This window comes from Homo sapiens, chromosome 6 (assembly GCF_000001405.40).
Source record: "Homo sapiens chromosome 6, GRCh38.p14 Primary Assembly".
NCBI lineage: Eukaryota > Metazoa > Chordata > Mammalia > Primates > Hominidae > Homo > Homo sapiens.
This window is the reverse complement of record NC_000006.12, coordinates 145,747,365-145,765,932: the sequence shown is the minus strand read 5'-3', so window position 1 is coordinate 145,765,932 and position 18,568 is coordinate 145,747,365. Positions and strand designations below refer to the sequence as shown.

The 18,568-nt window shown below is 37.2% G+C and overlaps 2 long non-coding RNA genes across 2 annotated transcripts in view; one reads left to right on the top strand and one right to left on the bottom strand.

The window, feature by feature from the left end:
• The window catches only part of EPM2A-DT (EPM2A divergent transcript), a 151,717-nt gene that overhangs the window by 120,653 nt on the left and 12,496 nt on the right, over positions 1–18,568 (bottom strand). The window lies entirely within an intron of this gene.
• Positions 2,314–13,862, top strand: LOC105378039 (uncharacterized). The gene is made up of 3 exons (XR_007059799.1): positions 2,314–2,646; positions 10,932–11,203; positions 13,693–13,862. It is a non-coding gene; the product is annotated as an uncharacterized LOC105378039 (long non-coding RNA).

The following is an 18,568-nucleotide window of genomic DNA, read 5'->3' as shown; positions in this document are numbered from 1 at the left end:
TCCTCTGAAATCTAGGCGGAGGTTCTCCAACCTCAATTCCTGATTTTGTACACCTGCAGGCCCAACACCACATGTAAGCTGCGAATGCTTGGGGCTTGCACCCTCTGAAGCAATGGCCTGAGTTGTACATTGGCCTCTTTTAATCCCAGTGGGAGCTGAAGCAGCTGGGACACAGGGCACCATGTTCCAAGGCTTCATAGAGCACTGGGGCCTTGGGCCAGGCCCATGAAACCAATTTTTTCTCCTAAGTCTCCAGGCCTGTTATGGGAGGGGCTGCCATGAAAGTCTCTGACATGGCCTGGAGATATTTTTTCCCATTGTCTTGGTGATTTACATTTGACTCCTTGTTACTTATGCAAACTTCAGCAGACTTAAATTTCTCCCCAGGAAATGTTTGTTTCTTTTTTACTGCATCACCAGGCTGCACATTTTTCAAACTTTTCTGCTCTGCTTCCTCTTGATGGCTTTGGTGCTTAGAAATTTCTTCTGCCAGATACCCTAAATAATCTCTCTCAAGTTCAAAGTTCCACAGATCTCTAGGGCATGGGCAAGATGCTGCCAGTCTCTTTGCACAGCAAGAGTGACCTTTGTTCCAGTTACCAAGAAGTTCCTCATCTCCATCTGAGACCACCTGAGCCTGGATTTCATTTTTCACATCCCTATCAGAATTTTGGTCAAATCCATTCAACAAATCTCTAGGAAGTTCCAAACTTTCCCACATCTTCCTGTCTTCTGAACCCTCCAAGTCTCTAGGAAGTTGCAAACTTTCCCACATTTCCTATCTTCTTCTGAGCCCTCCAAACTGTTCCAACCTCGCCTGTTACCCAGTTCCAAAGTCACTTCCACATTTTTAAGTATCTTTACAGCAGCACCCCATTCTACCAGTACCAATTTACTATATTAGTTCTCATGCTGTTAATAAAGACATATCTGAGACTGGGTAATTTATAAAGAAAAAGAGGTTTAATGGAATCACTGTTCCACATGGCTGGGAAGGCCTCACAATAATGGGGGAAGGCAAAGGAGGAGAAAGGCACACCTTACATGGTGGCAGGCAAGACAGCATATGTGGGGGAACTACCCTTTATAAAACCATCAGATCTTGTGAGACTTATTCACTATCAAGAGAGCAGCACAGGAAAGTTCTGCCCCTGTGATTCAATTACCTCCCACTGGGTCCCTCCCACAATATGTGGGAATTATAGGAGCTACAGTTCAAGATGAGATTTTGGTGGGGACACAGCCAAACTATATCAATTCATATATGAAATGCTACTTGACAATAAAAAATGAATGAAGTACTGATACATGTCTCAACTTGGATAAACCTTAAAAACATCGGGCTATGTGAAAGAAGCCAGACACAAAAAAGGCCATATATTGTGTTATTCCACTTATGTAAAATGTCCAGAATAGGCAAATCTGTAGAGAAAATTGATTAGTAATTGATAAGGGCTGAAGTATAAGGGTATGTGGAGTGATTGCTTATGGGTATGGGGTTTCTTCTTGGGGTGGTAAAATACTGTGTGAGTGTATAAAAACTGGTGAATTGTATACGTTTTAAAAGATGAATGTTATAGTATAACTTAACAATTTAAAATATCCAGTATGTAAAGTTTACAGATTTTAATGTCATTAACCTAAACAGGGTTTTGGAATTTTCACCTGTGCTTTGTTTTGCCTGCTCTTAATTTGATCAATACTGTGTGTTATGAACAGAAGTGCTTAGAGCATTAATCTCATTTGTGTACTTCAGAGAAGATCCACCACTGATAATTTATTCATTTATATTTGCTTTCTTCTGAATTAAACATTTATTCATCTTTAAAATTTAAAAATGAAACAAAATTGATTACAACATTACAACTCATAAGCACTCTCAGTCATTCACAATCCTGCAACAGTAAAAGGAGCAGCAGTGATAGTCCACCATTAATGAGTGTGGCACAGAAAATAGACTTCTGGTTATTTATTAATCTATTCTTGTTGACTTTAGCATCCATTCCTTTATCTCCCACTCCACTAAACATTTCTGGAAAGCCAAATGAGTGGAAATGATGTTTGTAAAGGGATGAACTTGAAATAGTGGATTGATGTCAAACTTTGAATCTTTGACACTATTAGCAAATTAATTATAAGAAACACTGGAGCTGAGATCTTGAAGACAGTGCAGCCTCAGGTTACTGAAATATTTACTTCCTAAAATATCCTCCTAAAAATAGTGTTTCATATTGCATTATTGTATTGACATCATCACTCTCTACCATTATGCAGCTCTGCTACTTTTTTAATTTGCGTTTCCTTGGAGTTACAGACACCACTTTTGGGAAGTATACTGTGTGCTGTAGGTACTCTGGGGATTAAAGAGTATGCAGAAACTTTTAGCTCATTGTTTCCACTGAGTACTGTCAAAGTGCTGATAACACAGGCTGCCAAAAGAGTATTTTCTAGACAAAACAGTAAAGGGGATGCAGAGCTACTGAGCCACTCTCTATTCCCTGCCTGAAGCATCTCCACCCTTTCATTCTAAGCAGGTACCCTTGCTTCTAATACCACAAAAAGCAGGATATAGATGAATTGTTACCTGCCTAGATGCTGAGACCAGACTACCTCCGTTGTTGCAACATGAAGTGATTGCACTATAAGGTAAGCAATGCAAGTACTGTGTTAACTGTCATTATTTGTCTTTTAAAGATGATACAACTAAGTTAGCACCGCAGAAGGATGCGACCCTTTCAGTGGAGGCTTCACCCTTCAGTGGAGCCTTCAAGAGTAGGCAGCACCCTTTCCTTGCCCAGGCACTGCCAAGATATTATTCAGCTTTCCTCTGGCTTTCACTGTTGCTATAAGAAATCAATAGTTTCCTTTGTAGGTTAACTGCTTTTTTTCCCCCCCTCTGACTGCTTTTAGGTTAACCTTTTTGTCACTGGTGCTCTTCATTTTCTTTTCTTTTCTTTTTTTTTGAGACAGAGTCTCATTCTGTCACCCAGGCTGGAATGCAGTGGCATGATCTCGGCTCACTGCAACCTTCGCCTCTTGGGTTCAAGTGATTCTCCTATCTCAGCCTCCCAAGTAGCTGGGCTTACAGGTGCTCACCACCATGCCTGGCTAATTTTTGTGTTTTTAGTAGTGACTGGGTTTCACCATTGTGGCCAGGCTCATCTCGAACTCCTAACCTCAAGTGATCTGCCCACCTTGGCCTCCCAAAGTGCCAGGATTACAGGCCTGTACCATAGCATCCGGCCTTCAGTTTCATTAGATAGATCTTGGTATCGATTTCTTATGCACTGCATTTGAATTCATCATAATTCTAGAATCTGAAGGGTTATATCTCTCAACAAGGTTTTCTCATTTAAAAAAACTTTATTTTATTTTAAGTTCTCGGATACATGCGCAGGATGTGCTAGTTTGTTACACAGGCAAATGCATGCCATGGTGGTTTACTGCAACTATCAACCCATCACCTAGGTATTAAGCCCTGCATGCATTAGCTATTTATCCTGATGCTCTCCCTCCGCCTTCGCCCGTGACAGGTCCCGGTGTGTGTCGTTCCTCTCCCTGTGTCCATGTGTTCTCATTGCTCTCAACGAGGTTTTCTATAAATGGTATCCAAGAAATGTGAACAGTAACTAGAAGGGGATGTGAGGAAGAGGAAGGTTTATTTTGTTTAAGATTCGAGAAATAATAGCTACATGTTATTAATGGATCTGACCTAGTAAAGAAAAATTGGTGATGCAGTGGGGAAAGAGTTACTGTAGTGAAGTCCTTGATTAGCTAAGAGAGAATGAGATTGTGTTGGGATGGAGGAATTAGCCTTAGAAAGGAGGACCAACAGTTACTGTAAGAGAGAGAAGACAGGGTGTATGAGTACAAGTATGTTTTGTTGGGCAGACTGGGTGGAGGTGAGAGTTTGTAGATTGTTTGTTTTTAAATTATTTCTGTGTTTTCAATAAAGATTTTGTCAAGTTGGCTCCTTCATATGTTTCTATGCAGATAGATATGGAAGATCAATTTGTGTCAGAAATTTGCAGTAAGCTTAGAAAAAAAATGCTGCTTATCTAGAGCAGTGATTCTCAATAGGGGTGACATTATCCCCAGGGGACATCTAATATGTCTGGAGATATTTTGGTTGGCCCACCTGCTGGAGGACTACTGGCATCTAGTGGGTAGAGGCCACAAATGCTGCCAAGCACCTGCACAGGCAAGCCCCACAAAACAGAAAACTGTGTGACCCAAAATGTCAGTTGTGTTGAGGCTGAGAAACTCTGATCTAGAGCAGTGGTGGGCAAACATTTTTTTAGAAAGGAAGGTAGAAAACACTTTAGGATTGGAAGCCATTTGGTTTCTATTGTATCTACTTAACCCTGCTATTGCAGTGTGAAAGCTGCCATAGACAAAATACTAGTGGTCCTGGCTGTATCCCAATAAGCTTTATTTATAAAAACAGGCAGGTGGCCCATGGGCAGAGTTTGATAACCTCTGATCTAGAGGACTCTTTTGCTTTTTCTGCAACCATCTAAGAAATAGAGGCAGAGTTTGGACTAATCATAGATGGTAGCCATCATTAAAACTTCTTCATTCTTGGTGAATATCAATGCTTTGATATGTTGGCTGTGCCCCTATTTGGTGCTTAGTGAATACTTTAAAATCTAGACTTAAATAAGTCAGTAAGTCACTAGTTTTTAATTTCAAAATTAAATTTTCTTCTCTCATTTCCCTGCCCCGCCACCCCCTGAGAGGGTCTAATAGCCACTCTTCTTAGTCATATGCTTAGGACTGCTATTATCCAAAAGATGATAAGCATTGGCAAGGGTGTGGAGAAAAGGGAACTCTAGTACACAGTTGGTGGGGATGCAGATTGGTATAGCCATTATGGAAAACAGTATGGAGATTCCTAAAGAAATGAAAAATGGGACTCCCATACAATCCAGCAATCCCTCTTCTAGGTATATATCCAAAGGAGCTGAAATTAGCACTTCATAAAGATATCTGCACTCCCAAGTTCAGTGCAGCATTATTCCCAATGCCAAGATATGGAAACAACCTAGTATCCATCAACAGGCAACTGTATAAAGAAAATGTGATACATATGCTGTTAAATATTATTCAGCCTTAAAAATTTGCCATTTGCTACAAAGTGGATGGACCTTGCGGACATTATGCTAAGTGAAACAAGCCAGATACAGAAATAAAATAGTGCATGATCTCACTTATAGTGGAATCCAAAATAAAACAGTCAAATACAGCCACGCATCACTTAACAATGGGGATATATTCTAAGAAATGCATTGTTAGGTGATTTCATTGTTGTGTGAACAGCACAGAATATACCTACATAAACCGAGATGGTAAAGCCTACTACAGACTACACACCTACACGGCATAACCTATTGCTCCTAGGCTACCAACCTGTACAGCATGCTGTAATATAATGATAAGTATTTGTGTATCTAAACATAGAAAAGGTACAGTAAAAATATGGCATAATAGATTTTTTTAAATGGCATACCTCTATAGGGCACTTCCCATGAATGGGGCTTGCAGGACTCGGGGTTGCTCTGGGTGAGTCTGTGAGTGAGTGGTGAGTGAATGTGAAAGACTAACACATTATTGTACACTATTGTAGACTTTAAAAAACTGTACACCTAGGCTACACCAAATTTATTAATTTTTCTTTCTAAAATAATAAGCTAAGTTTACGGTATCTTGTTAACTATATACATTTTTAATTAAAAAAAACTTTTTGACTCTTTTGTAATGACATCTTAAAACACAAACACATTATACAGCTCCACAAACAAATTTTTCCTTGTATTCTTACTCTGTAAGCTTTTCTATTTTTTAAATGTTGCTTTTTTTTCTATTTAAACTTTTTTGTTAAAAATGAAGACACAGACCCACCCATTAGCCTAGGCCTACACAGGGTCAGGATCATGAATATCACGGTCTTCCACCTCCACATCTTGTCCCACTGGAAGGCCTTTAGGGACAATAATACTTGTGGAGCTGTCGTCTCCTGTGATGCCAATGCCTTCTTCTGGAACACCTCCTGAAAGACCTGGCTGAGGCTGTTTTACAGTTAACTTTTTTTGAATACATAGGAATATATTTTAAACTAGCAATAAAAATATATAATGCAGTAAACACATAACCAGTAACACTCATTTGTTATCATTATTAAGTATTATGTGTGGTACATCATTGAATGTACTATGCTTTCACATGACTGGCAGCACAGTAAGTTTGTTTACACCAGCATCACCACAAACACTTAAGTAATGTATTGTGACTGCTACAACATCACTAGACTATGGAAATTTTCCAGCTCCATTATTATCTTATGGGACCACTGTTGTATAAGCAGTCCGTTGTCGACTAAAACATCATTACTGATGCTCGACTGTATACAGAGATAGAGAACAGTGGGGTGCGGGAGAAGGAAGAAATAGGGAGAAATAGGTCAAAGGATACAAAGTAGCAGATATGTAGAGTGAGCACGTCTAGACATCTAGAGATGCGCAACATGAGAATTATAGCTAATAAAATTGTATTATATTAGAGATTTTGTTAAATAAGTAAATTTAACAAAAAAGGATATAAAAATAACTACATGAGGTGATCGATATGTTAATCTACTTCACTATAGTAACTATTTTATTATTCCTTTAGTTCCCATAACATAATGTTGTAAACCTCAAATATACAAAATAAAATTTATTTGTTAAAAAGCTGGCCCCCACATCTCTATTGACATCATTTTGAATTGTTGTTTTGGTAACCTAGTATCCTCCAGACTTGGCAGTATATTTTCTATCTAGATTAATTTAATGTTATTTGAACTGTAGCATCTTTTATGATGCAGCAAACAAAATTGGAGCCTCAGAATATTTTATAAAAAAATAGAAGACCTTTGTAGTTAAATGATCTTGAGTTCCAGTATCAGCTCAGCCATTTATTAACTTGGAACTGAGAAGTAATTTATTTAACCATTCGAGCTTCATTATCTTAAATAGCAAATTTCTAATTTACAAAATTGTTAAGGGGATTTTATTAGATAATGTAACCAAAGTTTGAAATTCAGTGACAACCACAAGGTAGCTTTTTAGTAATTAGTGGCTTTTAGCAATAGTATTATTATTAACAAACTACTTGAGAAAATCCAAATATTTCTGAGGCAATTAGACTTTTCCCCAAACATTTTGCATTTTAATCCAGACATTTCACTTTTTTAAACAGTGAGATGCCTGATAGACTGTTCTGTAAAAACAAATACTAATCCTGTGGTATTTCTTTGTGCCTAAGATAGTTTTTGCATATTTCTGCTTGTAGAAATGTCACACTTTCAATTTTCCAAGTACAAATTGTCAGACAAGTCCTATGTAAAAGAGAACTGTTTTCTGAATCAGTAAATACAAGAGAAGTTGGGAAAATCTTCCCTATTTCACTTTCTTTCTCATAGTTACTTAGCAACCAGCTAGTACCTTTGAAAAATCTCCTTTGAATACTAAATACTATTGAGATTTGTGTTTATTACTAAGTTGAGGATTAAATACGCAGTCACCATTTCCCTAAAGGACACAATTGAAACCTAGGTAAAATTACCTCATTGCCACGAAGAGACCAATATTTGGCCCTTCCTGTTTATGTGCTGTTACTTACGCATAATATAGTCATAAGAAAGTCCCTGAGACTGGGATTACAAATAGGAATGTGTAATGCAGCCGACAACTCTTCTTTAATATTTAATATAAGTCAGTCCTCCATAGGCATTCCTTACTTGATTTGAGAACACACACAGTTAGTGTTATATGAATAAGGAGACAGTGCATTTTGGTTTGCCTGGGATGATCTAGTTTACCTCTGTGGTAAATCAGTTAAAACTGTTCATTATTTTAGCACTTCTTTCTATTCCCCAAACTGACCTGTTGTGGATAACAAATTGCATGGTGACCCTAGATTTGAAAATTTGGAGGCACTCTGAAAGAAAGCAATTGAAATATGGTTAGAGGCATTGGGAATAGCCCCTATGAAGAAATGACAAAAGGAATTGGCTTTATTTGTTGAAAAAAAGAGAAAACTTAGGGAGATTATGCTCTTCAAGAAGCAAATATGGAAGGGTACGCTCTAAGAAGAATCAAAAGCTTCTGCCTCTTTCCTTCCCGGGGCTGAACAGCATTACAATTCACACACTGGAGGTATGCTGTGTAGAAATTAGAGGTTAGGAAGCCACTGTACACACTAAATTGCACTCCCAGTAAAGGTTATTTTTTCCTGTTTTGAATATTCTTTAAGAAACAGATAGTATATGGACATACTCTATGGCTTACCAATTCTACTCCTAGGTATAAACCCTAGAGAAACTTGTGCAAATATACATAAGGATGTACCAACCAGGATTTTATTAGCTTCACTGTTTGTAATAATCCCATACTGAAAATAACTCATCTATCTGCTAACAATAAAATTTAAAAAGTATGAGGTCTTCAGATAGTGGAATATGCTATACATAAGCAAAAATAATTGAAGCATAGCTACATGCTACAATATGTAGATATTTGAAAAACATCATATTAAGCAAAAGACATAAGTTACAAAAGAATACATGAAGTATGATTTCCATTTATACAAAACTCAAAAAATAGGCGAAACTAATTATTTAGCATTGGTAGCTCCAGACAAAACCATAAATAAAGGATTCAAGTTCAAGCATTAAGTTGAAACATATGAAACTTCAGATCTTCAACCATTTTTAACTTACAAAAATGGGCAAATTTGGTTTAATTAAGTAGCTTATTTGGGAGGGACAAAACATAGCTTAAGAGTGGCCAGGCACGGTGGCTCACGCCTGTAATCCCAGCACTTTGGGAGGCTGAGGCGGGCAGATCATGAGGTCAAGAGATTGAGACCATCCTGGCCAACATGGTGAAACCCCATCTCTACTAAAAATGCAAAAATTAGCTGGGCTTGGTGGCACATGCCAGTAGTCCCAGTTACTCGGGAGACTGAGGCAGGAGAATCGCTTGAACCTGGGAGGCGGAGGTTGCAGTGAGCCGAGATCACACCACTGTATTCCAGCCTGGTGACAGAGCAAGACTCTGTCTTTTTTTTTAAAAAAAAAAAAAAAAGAAAGAAAAAAAAAGCTTAAGGGCGAGGAAATAGACAAGGAAGGGAAGCAGTGCATTTTCAAACCACTTAACCACTGTGAATGTCTGCAACTTAATCCCATTATGGTAACACTAGAGAGCCAGTGAAAAACATGCACCAGGATTAACTTATTTTAGGGGTAATGAAGTTGAGATATTTATACACTATTTATTGTCAATTTTCGTTAGAGCCCTGCTTCAGGGTTTTCAGACTCTGCACAGCATCCCTGTCTATCTTGAACATCTCTGGTGTAATAGGATTGGCTGGAGTGTATGTTCCCAAAGGCATTGTTATTTATACCACAGACTGAAACTGCTATGGAGCCTTTCTTGTTCTGGGCCCAACCCCAAGTGGCAATCTGCCAAATGATGCAATAAATGCCTGAGGTAATATTCTCAAATGTGGTATATGTTCTCCACAACCCAAAGAGATCTACTAAATAACTATGAAATTCCTCTTTCTTAATTGTAAGAATTGCAACATGCAGTAACTTGTCCTTTACTTCCTTTACTGCATTCCACAGACCACTAAATCTCTGAATCCTCCATTAGTGTTGCAGGCCCTTGAATCTTTGAAGGGATTATATCCAGTCCTCTGAGGTGCATTTGCCTTACAAGGGCATTTGGAGTATTGCAACTTCATGATCCTCAGTTCCAATGATTGCATCAAATACTGCGGCTGGAGGCGATGTTCTGAGAAATGTCTAGAGGATTGAGGTTCCTTTGGACTATATTGTGCTTGAGATCAGGAGAGCTACCAGAGTCCCAGAAAGACTGTGATGTAGTCTACTCTCATCCATCATGATCCATATGGTTTTTGCAAGGGCCAGATTGGTGAATTAGAGGGAGATATGATGTTCCTGTATCCTTTACACTTTTGAGAGAGATATTAATCTCTGCCATTCCATCCAGGATTGGTTGTTTCTAATTTACTGTCTTGCCTGAAGTGAAGGCAGTTTCAAGGATTTCTACTGTTTTCTACTACCTTTTATGTTATGATGATTTTACTCCATGAGTCAAGGAGCCAATCTAAGTTGAGTATTCTTGGGGCCCTCTCCAGAGACAGGGTCAGCTGGTAGCTTCTCTGGTCCTATATTCTGAATACATTACAGCATGTTCATTCCTTTGTCTTTTTATCCCTTTCTAAATACTCCTATTAGGCAATTTCAACATCTTGCCTCATTCACTATATGCTGTGTTTTTTCCCCAAATCCCAAGGATCCATTCCAATAGTGCATTAGGACTGGCTCCATAAGTCCTTGCTGAGATGCTATATCTTGAGTTACAGGAGAGTGCCCTTCACAATGAGTTCACCCTTATCCAGTTTATATTCTACTCCCTCAATTTCAGGTATATCCTCTCAGTTGCTGCTTATGCATATTAGCCAGGCCATGCAGAATGTTTGGTACATAGTTCGTTTCCTCTCATGGAAGAGCAGTTCATCGCCAGTAAGGCTGTGTTGAGGCATAACCCTAGTAACTGCTGTACAAGCCGTGAGTGGAAGTAAGGACAGATTTTAAAAGTCATGGATGTGCTCCTTTCTTCTGTGTAGAATGACTGGGGTAAATGGCCATATATCCCTTAAGTGGGAAGGAATGGGGAAATCACTATTTAAGTACTTGGCTGTAGCATTACAAAATTCTTCCTTAAGGGGAAGGGGATCTAGCATTCTCTTCAATTGAAGGGCTCTAGTTTTCAGAATAGATTCTGGTTTGGAAATTGAGTAAGAAAACAATTTTCTATTATGGTGACTAATGACTGTCTTCTGCTCTGCTCTTGTTCTTATAGGTTGTACATGTCATGCAACATCTTTGTTGGATGCCTACCCATCTTGCCTCTAAAAACACCATGGCTATTAGATATCACCACAGATATCTGTGAGAAAGAGTTCCTCGGTTATTATTCTGTCTTTGTTATCTATATATTGGATCTTCCTTAAGTGAGACTTCTGCATGATCTCCAAGCAAGGAGAGGCTATCTAGCATGGGGGAGTGGAGGTCTTACATAGCACAGAGGGGTCAAGATTTTCAAGCACAGAAGACCAGATGTTTCTGTTTCAGGTCTCTGGGTCCCATTTCTTCTTTATGACGACTCTGTATTTGGCATAGGAGAATTGCTGGGGCTGTGAATTTAGCATTATTTGAAATTTAAATAATTCCACAATTAGACCTTGCATCTGATTTTCAGCAGCCTTCCCTCTGGCTATGGCAAAGAGGGTAGGGTCTCTTTCATGCTACAGCTACTACGTAAGTATGGGAACCCAATCTTCCACAAATGAGAGTCTATAGATTTGATACTATACTACTAGGAATGGGATTCTTGTTGCTCTATGCCCAGGGAGTTATTCAATTTCTGAATCCCATCCTGAAGATTTGCTCCATAGAGCAATGTATGATATCAATTATTTTAGTTTGAATTATCCCAGAAGCAGATTTTGAAATCAGGATTTAAATGCATATGGTTTATTTGTGGGATGAAGGCAACCCTAGTAGGAAGGCGAGGAAGATAACCAACTACCACTGTGGACAACTGGAGCTTAACCCCACTAGATAAACTCAGAGAGCCAGTGTGAAGCACTCCTCAGTTGTCCCAGCAGAGGAGACGATGGAGCCAGAGTACATTTATACCAATTCCCATCCGTCATTGTTGAAGGGTGCTCTATGGGTATTTTTCAGCACTTCTGGTCCAGTTGCACAACAAAATGTGCTTTAACAGCAAGTGAAAGCTCCTGGGCAAAGACCTTAGGCATTGAGAGCTGTGTGCATTGAAGTGCTAAAAGCAAGGGCTATGGGTGGGATGCTGACAGCCTCAGCCAAACAAAATCGTATTATAAATGTATACGTGAGAAATAAAACTATAAAGAGAATAAAGAAATGATTATCACAAAATGGACGTTTTAAATGTTTTAAAATAGATATGAATTATTTAACTTGCTCTAATTATGGTTTGGATTTTCACAAGTAGTTTCTATCTGGCATCTCAAACTATTGAAGCACTGGTTGTATTTTAATGATTAATAAGATATATTGCCAAATTCCAATTTACTGAAGAACAACTTAGTTAAGAAATAAATCAATCTGACTTAAGCCCTTGTGTTATAAACGTAGGCTTCATGCTTATTTTTATGGCCATGCTTCTGTTTAATTTAGCACATTTATTCCTGAATTCTGAAGATATCAGTCTTATAATGCATATTATTGACAGGTCTTTCCCTCCATTGCCACTATAATCTTTACTATGAAGAGAAAAATTAATGAGCTGTATTTGCCAAGGTTTACCTGTGTGAATGAACTCTCCTCTCTCTTAATGCAAATATAATATTCTAGATACATGTTATATTCTTGAAACCAACCAAACTATTAATAATGTTTGATGATAATGATGATGATAATCAATACTTGCCTAGTGTTTTTATTTGCCAGACACTGCTCTATGCACTTTCCCATATATCATTTAATGTCCATATAAATCTGGTAAAGTAGGTTCATTTTTGTTCACATATTTTAAGTGAAGAGACTGAGATCTGGAGAGTTAAAGTAACTCTACCAAGATTACTTAGCCAGGGATAATAAACAATAGAAAGAGGTTGAATCAGCTTATCCCAAGAAAGGGACGATATAGATTAATGTAACCAAAGCACAGAAAGGTCAGGGGAAGCGTTGACCTCAGGAAAAAAAAATGATTCACATCCTTGAATACTGAGATGATTCTGTCTCTTGTATTTGCTTCTTTCAATATGTTAGCTCCATTTTTTCAGCCAAGTTGTCCCCATGAGGCTGGAAAGTTGGCTGCAAGTAGCACTCAGTTTTGGTTGTAGTCTGATATTTTAAACACTTTTCTTCTCCAGTTGAGGGAGGAATCTTACCGTGCCAGCTTAGGTCATGTGCCCATTCCATTAATCAGGGGTCAAAAAACTAAAGCTTGCACCTATTTTTGCAATAAAGCTTTATTGCAACACAACCATGCTCAATCCCTTACATTTTGTATATGGTTGCATTCGTACTGAAAAGGCTGAGTTGGGTAGTTGCAACAGCAGTCATATAGTCTGCAACACCTAAAATACTTACTATCTGGCTCTTTACAGAAAAAGTTTGCTGACCCCTATCTCAGGTCAACAACTATGGCAACTTGGTCACAGGTCTTCATATTGTTCCCACTTCATTTGAGTCAAGTGCATGGTTGTTGATACATGGGTTGACATTTTGCCCTCCAAAATGTCTTTAAAAAGAGTACAATGTGATTCAGCCTTCAATCTGAAAACTTTTTGTGTTTTTAGAAGCAATGAATCAGCAAAGTGTAAAATTTATATTATTGGAGCAAATATTTATCATTGGTGAAAAGACTATCGTTCCACATTTTCTTACAAGCAGTATCCAAGTGATTTATTGGACCTGAGAAAGACTGCCACAAGTAGATGAAGCAGAATTGTTTTGTGACTAAGATATTTGAAATACATTTCATAAGGTTATAATTACCATTGAGAGTGATTACTCTTATAAACCTGGGCATAGTAAATTGAAAAACTTCTTCAAAATATTCATTGTTTTAGATGCCATTAGGAATATTTGTGATACATGGGAGGAGGTCAAAATATCAACATTAACAGAATTTTGGAACAACGTGGTGACAACCCTCACAGGTGATTTAAAGAGCTCAAGACTTCAGTGGAGGAAATTACTGAAGATGTGGTGAAAATAACAAGAGAACTGGATTCAGAAGTGGAGCCTGAAAACATGACTGAACTGTTGTAATCTCATGATAAAACTTGAACAAATGTAGAGTTGGTTCTCTGGATGAGCAAAGAAAGTGGTTTTTTGAGATGGAGTCTACTCCTGGTGAGGATGCTATAAACATTGTTGAAATGACAACAAATGATTTAAAATATCATATAAACATCTTTAATAAAACAGTCGCAGAATTTGAGAAGATTGACTACAAGTTTGAAGGGAGTGGTATTGTGGGGAAAATGCTATCAAACAGCATTGCATGTACAGAGAAATCTTTCATGAAAAGTCCAGCAATGTGGCAAATTTCATTGCCGCCTTGTTTTAAGAAATTGCCACAGCCATCCGAGCCTTTGATAACTATCAGCCTTATTTGTTAGCAGATCAACATCAAGGCAAGAAACTCCACTGGGAAAAAGACTATAACTGGCTAAGGGCTCAGATGATTGTTACCAATTTTTAGCAATAAACCATTTTTAAATGAAGGCATGTACTTTTTTTAGACACAAAGCTATTGCCTGCTAAAGAGACTAAAATGTGTTATAAATATGACTTTTATATGCACCGGGGAACGAAAAAATTTGCATGACCTGCTTTGTTGTGATAGTCACTTTATTGTGCTGCTTTGGAACCAAATCCACAATATCTCCAAGGTATACTGGTACACTTAATCTGGATCATAATTTAGCCATGACCATGACCCCCTTTTTTAGTGCTTCCTTGTACATAGCTCATTATCCATTTGTAAATTTTTCCTTTTTCTTTTAAAATAATTTTAAACTTGGAAAAAAGTTGGAAGTTCAAAAAACTTCTGAATGCTCTTTTCCCAGATCCTCTAACCAGCAATGTTTTGTGCATTTGCTATACAATTTTCTCTCTTTTAATATTTTTCTCTTTATGTGATTATGTGTATGTATTGGATAAATTTATATTAAATATATATGTGCCCATAATATAATACTACATACATATTATGAATATACCTTATAAATATATGCTATATATAATATATCCTAATATGACAAATACATATCATATATGCATATCATATATACATAAATTTTATGAATTTTAGGAAACTATTTGAAAATAGTTCACCAAACATTTTTAATGCATATGTATTAGGGTTTTCTAGAGGGACAGTAATAATAGGATATATATATATATATGAAAGGGAGTTTATTAAGGAGTATTGACTCACACAATCACAAGGTAAAGTCCCACAATAGGCTGTCAGCAAGCTGAGGAGCAAAGAAGCCAGTCTGAGCCCCAGAACCTCAAAAGTAGCGAAGTCGACAGTGTAGCCTTCAGTCTGTGGCCAAAGGCCTGCGAGCCCCTGGCAAATGACTGGTGTAAGTCTAACAGTCCAGAAGCTAAAGAAGTTAGAGTCCGATGTTTGAGGGCAGAAAGCATCCAGAATGGGAGAAAGATGAAGGCCGGAAGACTCAGCCAGTTTAGTCCTTCCATGTTCCTCTGCCTGCTTTTATCCTAGCCGCCCTGGCAGCTCATTAGATGGTGCCCACCCAGATTGAGGGTAGGTCTGCCTCTCCCAGTCCACTGACTCAAATGTTAATGTCTTTTGGCAACACCTTCACAGACACACCCAGGAACAATACTTTGCATCCTTCAATCCAATGAAGTTGACATTCAATATTAACCATCACAGTGCATTTCCTAATAGAAAAGGGCATACTCTTACATGACTTTTGTACAATCTTCAAAATTAGGAAACTTAACATCAATACAATACTATTATCTAACCTGTAGTTCTTTTACATTTTTACTGGTAGGCCCAATATGGCATTTTTTTTTTCTGGCTCAGGATCCAATTTGGAATCATAAATCTTATTTAGTTGTCATGTCTTTTTTTGTCTTCATCAAGATGAGTCCCTCAGCCTTGGTTTGTCTCTTGTGGTATTGCCATTTCTAAAAAGCATAGATTTATTCATTATATCTCTCAATTTGGGTTTGACTGATGCTTTCTCATGAAAACATCAGAATATCCATGTTGGGAAGAAATACATAGAGTTCTCCTTACTTTATATTATATGATCCTGAAATCTTTTCCCAGAATATAGAGAGTATCTGTAGAGTAGCCAGTGTTCTTGTAGGAAGTGTGGAACTAGCATTCTGCCAATCAAGGATAATCTCACTGGATATGTCGGATGAGCCAATTGCATGCTTATTCTGCAGGAATCTGACTGAGAGACATTCAAGACAAAGTTATGCATAGCAAGAGTAATAGAAGGCAAAAGAGAAAATAGCTGAGTCATACTCAAAGGCAGAACACCAGAGGAGAGATCAAAGGTGGCCAGTTTCTCAGAAGACAATAATTAGAGTTGTGGAGACACCAGAACCACTTTCAGATCTAATACAACAATTGTTGTATTTTAAACAATATTTTGGTTCTGTGTCTTTGTGAGGCCTTCTTGTCTCTGTTTCACATAAAGCTGTAGTAGCTGAGATAATCTAATTGTGTCTCTCTTCCCTCTACATTGAGAATCAAAATGATTTAAATAGATGAGGGCTATGACTTGTGGGATCTTATAATATCAAATAGCATTGTCAATGATAGAGGAAAATAATCAAACACTTATAAAGATGTATTACTTTATTTTTTGTTGAAGTATAATTCACATAACAGAAAATTTATATTTTTAAAGTGTACAATTCAGTATTTTTGGTGCATTCACTGTGTTGTACAATAATCTCCACAATTTAATTTCAGAACATTTCCATTACTCCAAAAAGAAATTCCATATATATATATGCATAATTAGTCACAATTTCTCTCTTCCCTCATCTTCTGGCAACCCTCAAATCAACTTTCTACATGTATTTGCGTATTCTGGAAACTTCACATAAATGGAATAATACATTATGTGGCTTTTTGTGTCTGGTTTCTTTCACTTACCGTAATGTTTTCAAGTTTCATTCATGTTGCACCATGTAACATACCTCATTTGTTTTTATGGCTGAATAGTTTCTTTTATTAAATGTATATATCACATTTTGTTTATCCATTCATCATTGATAGACATGTGAGTTGTTTCAACTTTGGGCTACTATAAATAATGCTGTTACGAACTTTCATGTACAAGATTTTGTGGAAACATTTCTTTTCAATTCTCTTGGGTATTTACCAGTGAGTGGAATTGCTTGGTCATGTGGTAATTTTATGTTTAACTTTGTAAGAAACTTCCAGACTCTTGCCATGCAGTGGCATCATTTATGCTCCTACCAGCAACGTAGGAGTTTCAATTTATCCACATTCTCACCAATACTTCTTATTATTCTTTTAAGAAAATTATAGCCATTCTACTGGGTGTTAAATGGTATCTCATTGTGGTTTTGGTATGCATTTTCCTAATGATTAATGATGTTGAGCATCTTTCCATGTGTTAAATGGCCACTTGTATTTTTTTTTGGAGAAATATCTATTCAGATCATTTGTCTTCATTTTAATCAGGTGCTCTTTATATTGTTGAGTTGCAAGAGTCCTTTATATATTCTAGATAGTGGACTCTTATCAAATACGTGTGATTGGCAAACATTTTCTCCCATTCTGTGGGTTGTCTTCTTACTTTCTTGATGGTGTCCTTTTTATATGTTGATGAAGTTCAACTTATTTGTTTTTAATTTTGTTGCTTATGCTTTTGGTATCATATCTAAAATAACCCATTGCCTAATCCAAGATCATGCAGATTTATAGCTATTTTCCTACTAAGAGTTTTATAGTTTTAATTCTTACAGTTAGGTCTCTGAACTATTTTGAGTTAAATTTTGTGTATGATATGAAGTAGGGATCCAAATTTATTAGTTTGCACATGGATATCCAGTTGTCCCCGCACCATGCATTGACTCATCCAGTTGAAGCAGTTAAAGCACTATTTCCCCACAGAATGATCTTTGCACCTTTGTCAAAACTCAATTAACCATAACTGTATGGGTTGATTTTTGGACTCTCAATTCTATTCTATTGGTCCATTTGTCTATCTTTATGCCAGTATCACACTATCTTGATTGCTGTAACTTTGTATTAAGTTTTGAAATTGGGAGATATATGCCCTGCAACTTTGTTCTTCTTTTTCAAGATGATTTTGGCTACTCCGGGACCCTTGAATTTCCAGATGCATTTTAAGATCTGGTTGCTCATTTCTGCAAAATAGGCAGTTGGAATTTTGTGTTAAATCTGTCAAATAATTTCAGGTGTACTGCTCAAATCTTATTAAATTTTCTGTTCCATGAACATGGGATATCTTTTCATTTATTTAGATTTCTTCATTTTTTTTCAGTAATATTTCAACTACTGTTTTGTTGTTTTTAGTGTACAAGTCCTACACTTTGGTTAGACTATTTTTAGTATGTTTGAAATAGGATTTAGTTTGTATCCTACAAATTTGCTGAATTCATTTATTATTTGTTTTTCTATGTGTGTAGACAGATGTATTGCTTTAAAGAAAAATTAGGACCAGATTGTTTGGCTTTCACATTTGTGCCTCACCACAATTAATCACAATGAAATAGTTCTGTGCGTTTTCCGAAGGAATAGAGGAAACAAACTTTTCCCTTCTATCACTATCTTTATACTAGAGCTAAATGAATTACTATTATCTCACCTCTCATTGTCTCCAGGGTCTTACAAGTAATCCAGTGGCCACAGAGAAGAGAAACTGAATTATTAAGATTCCTACTTTCATT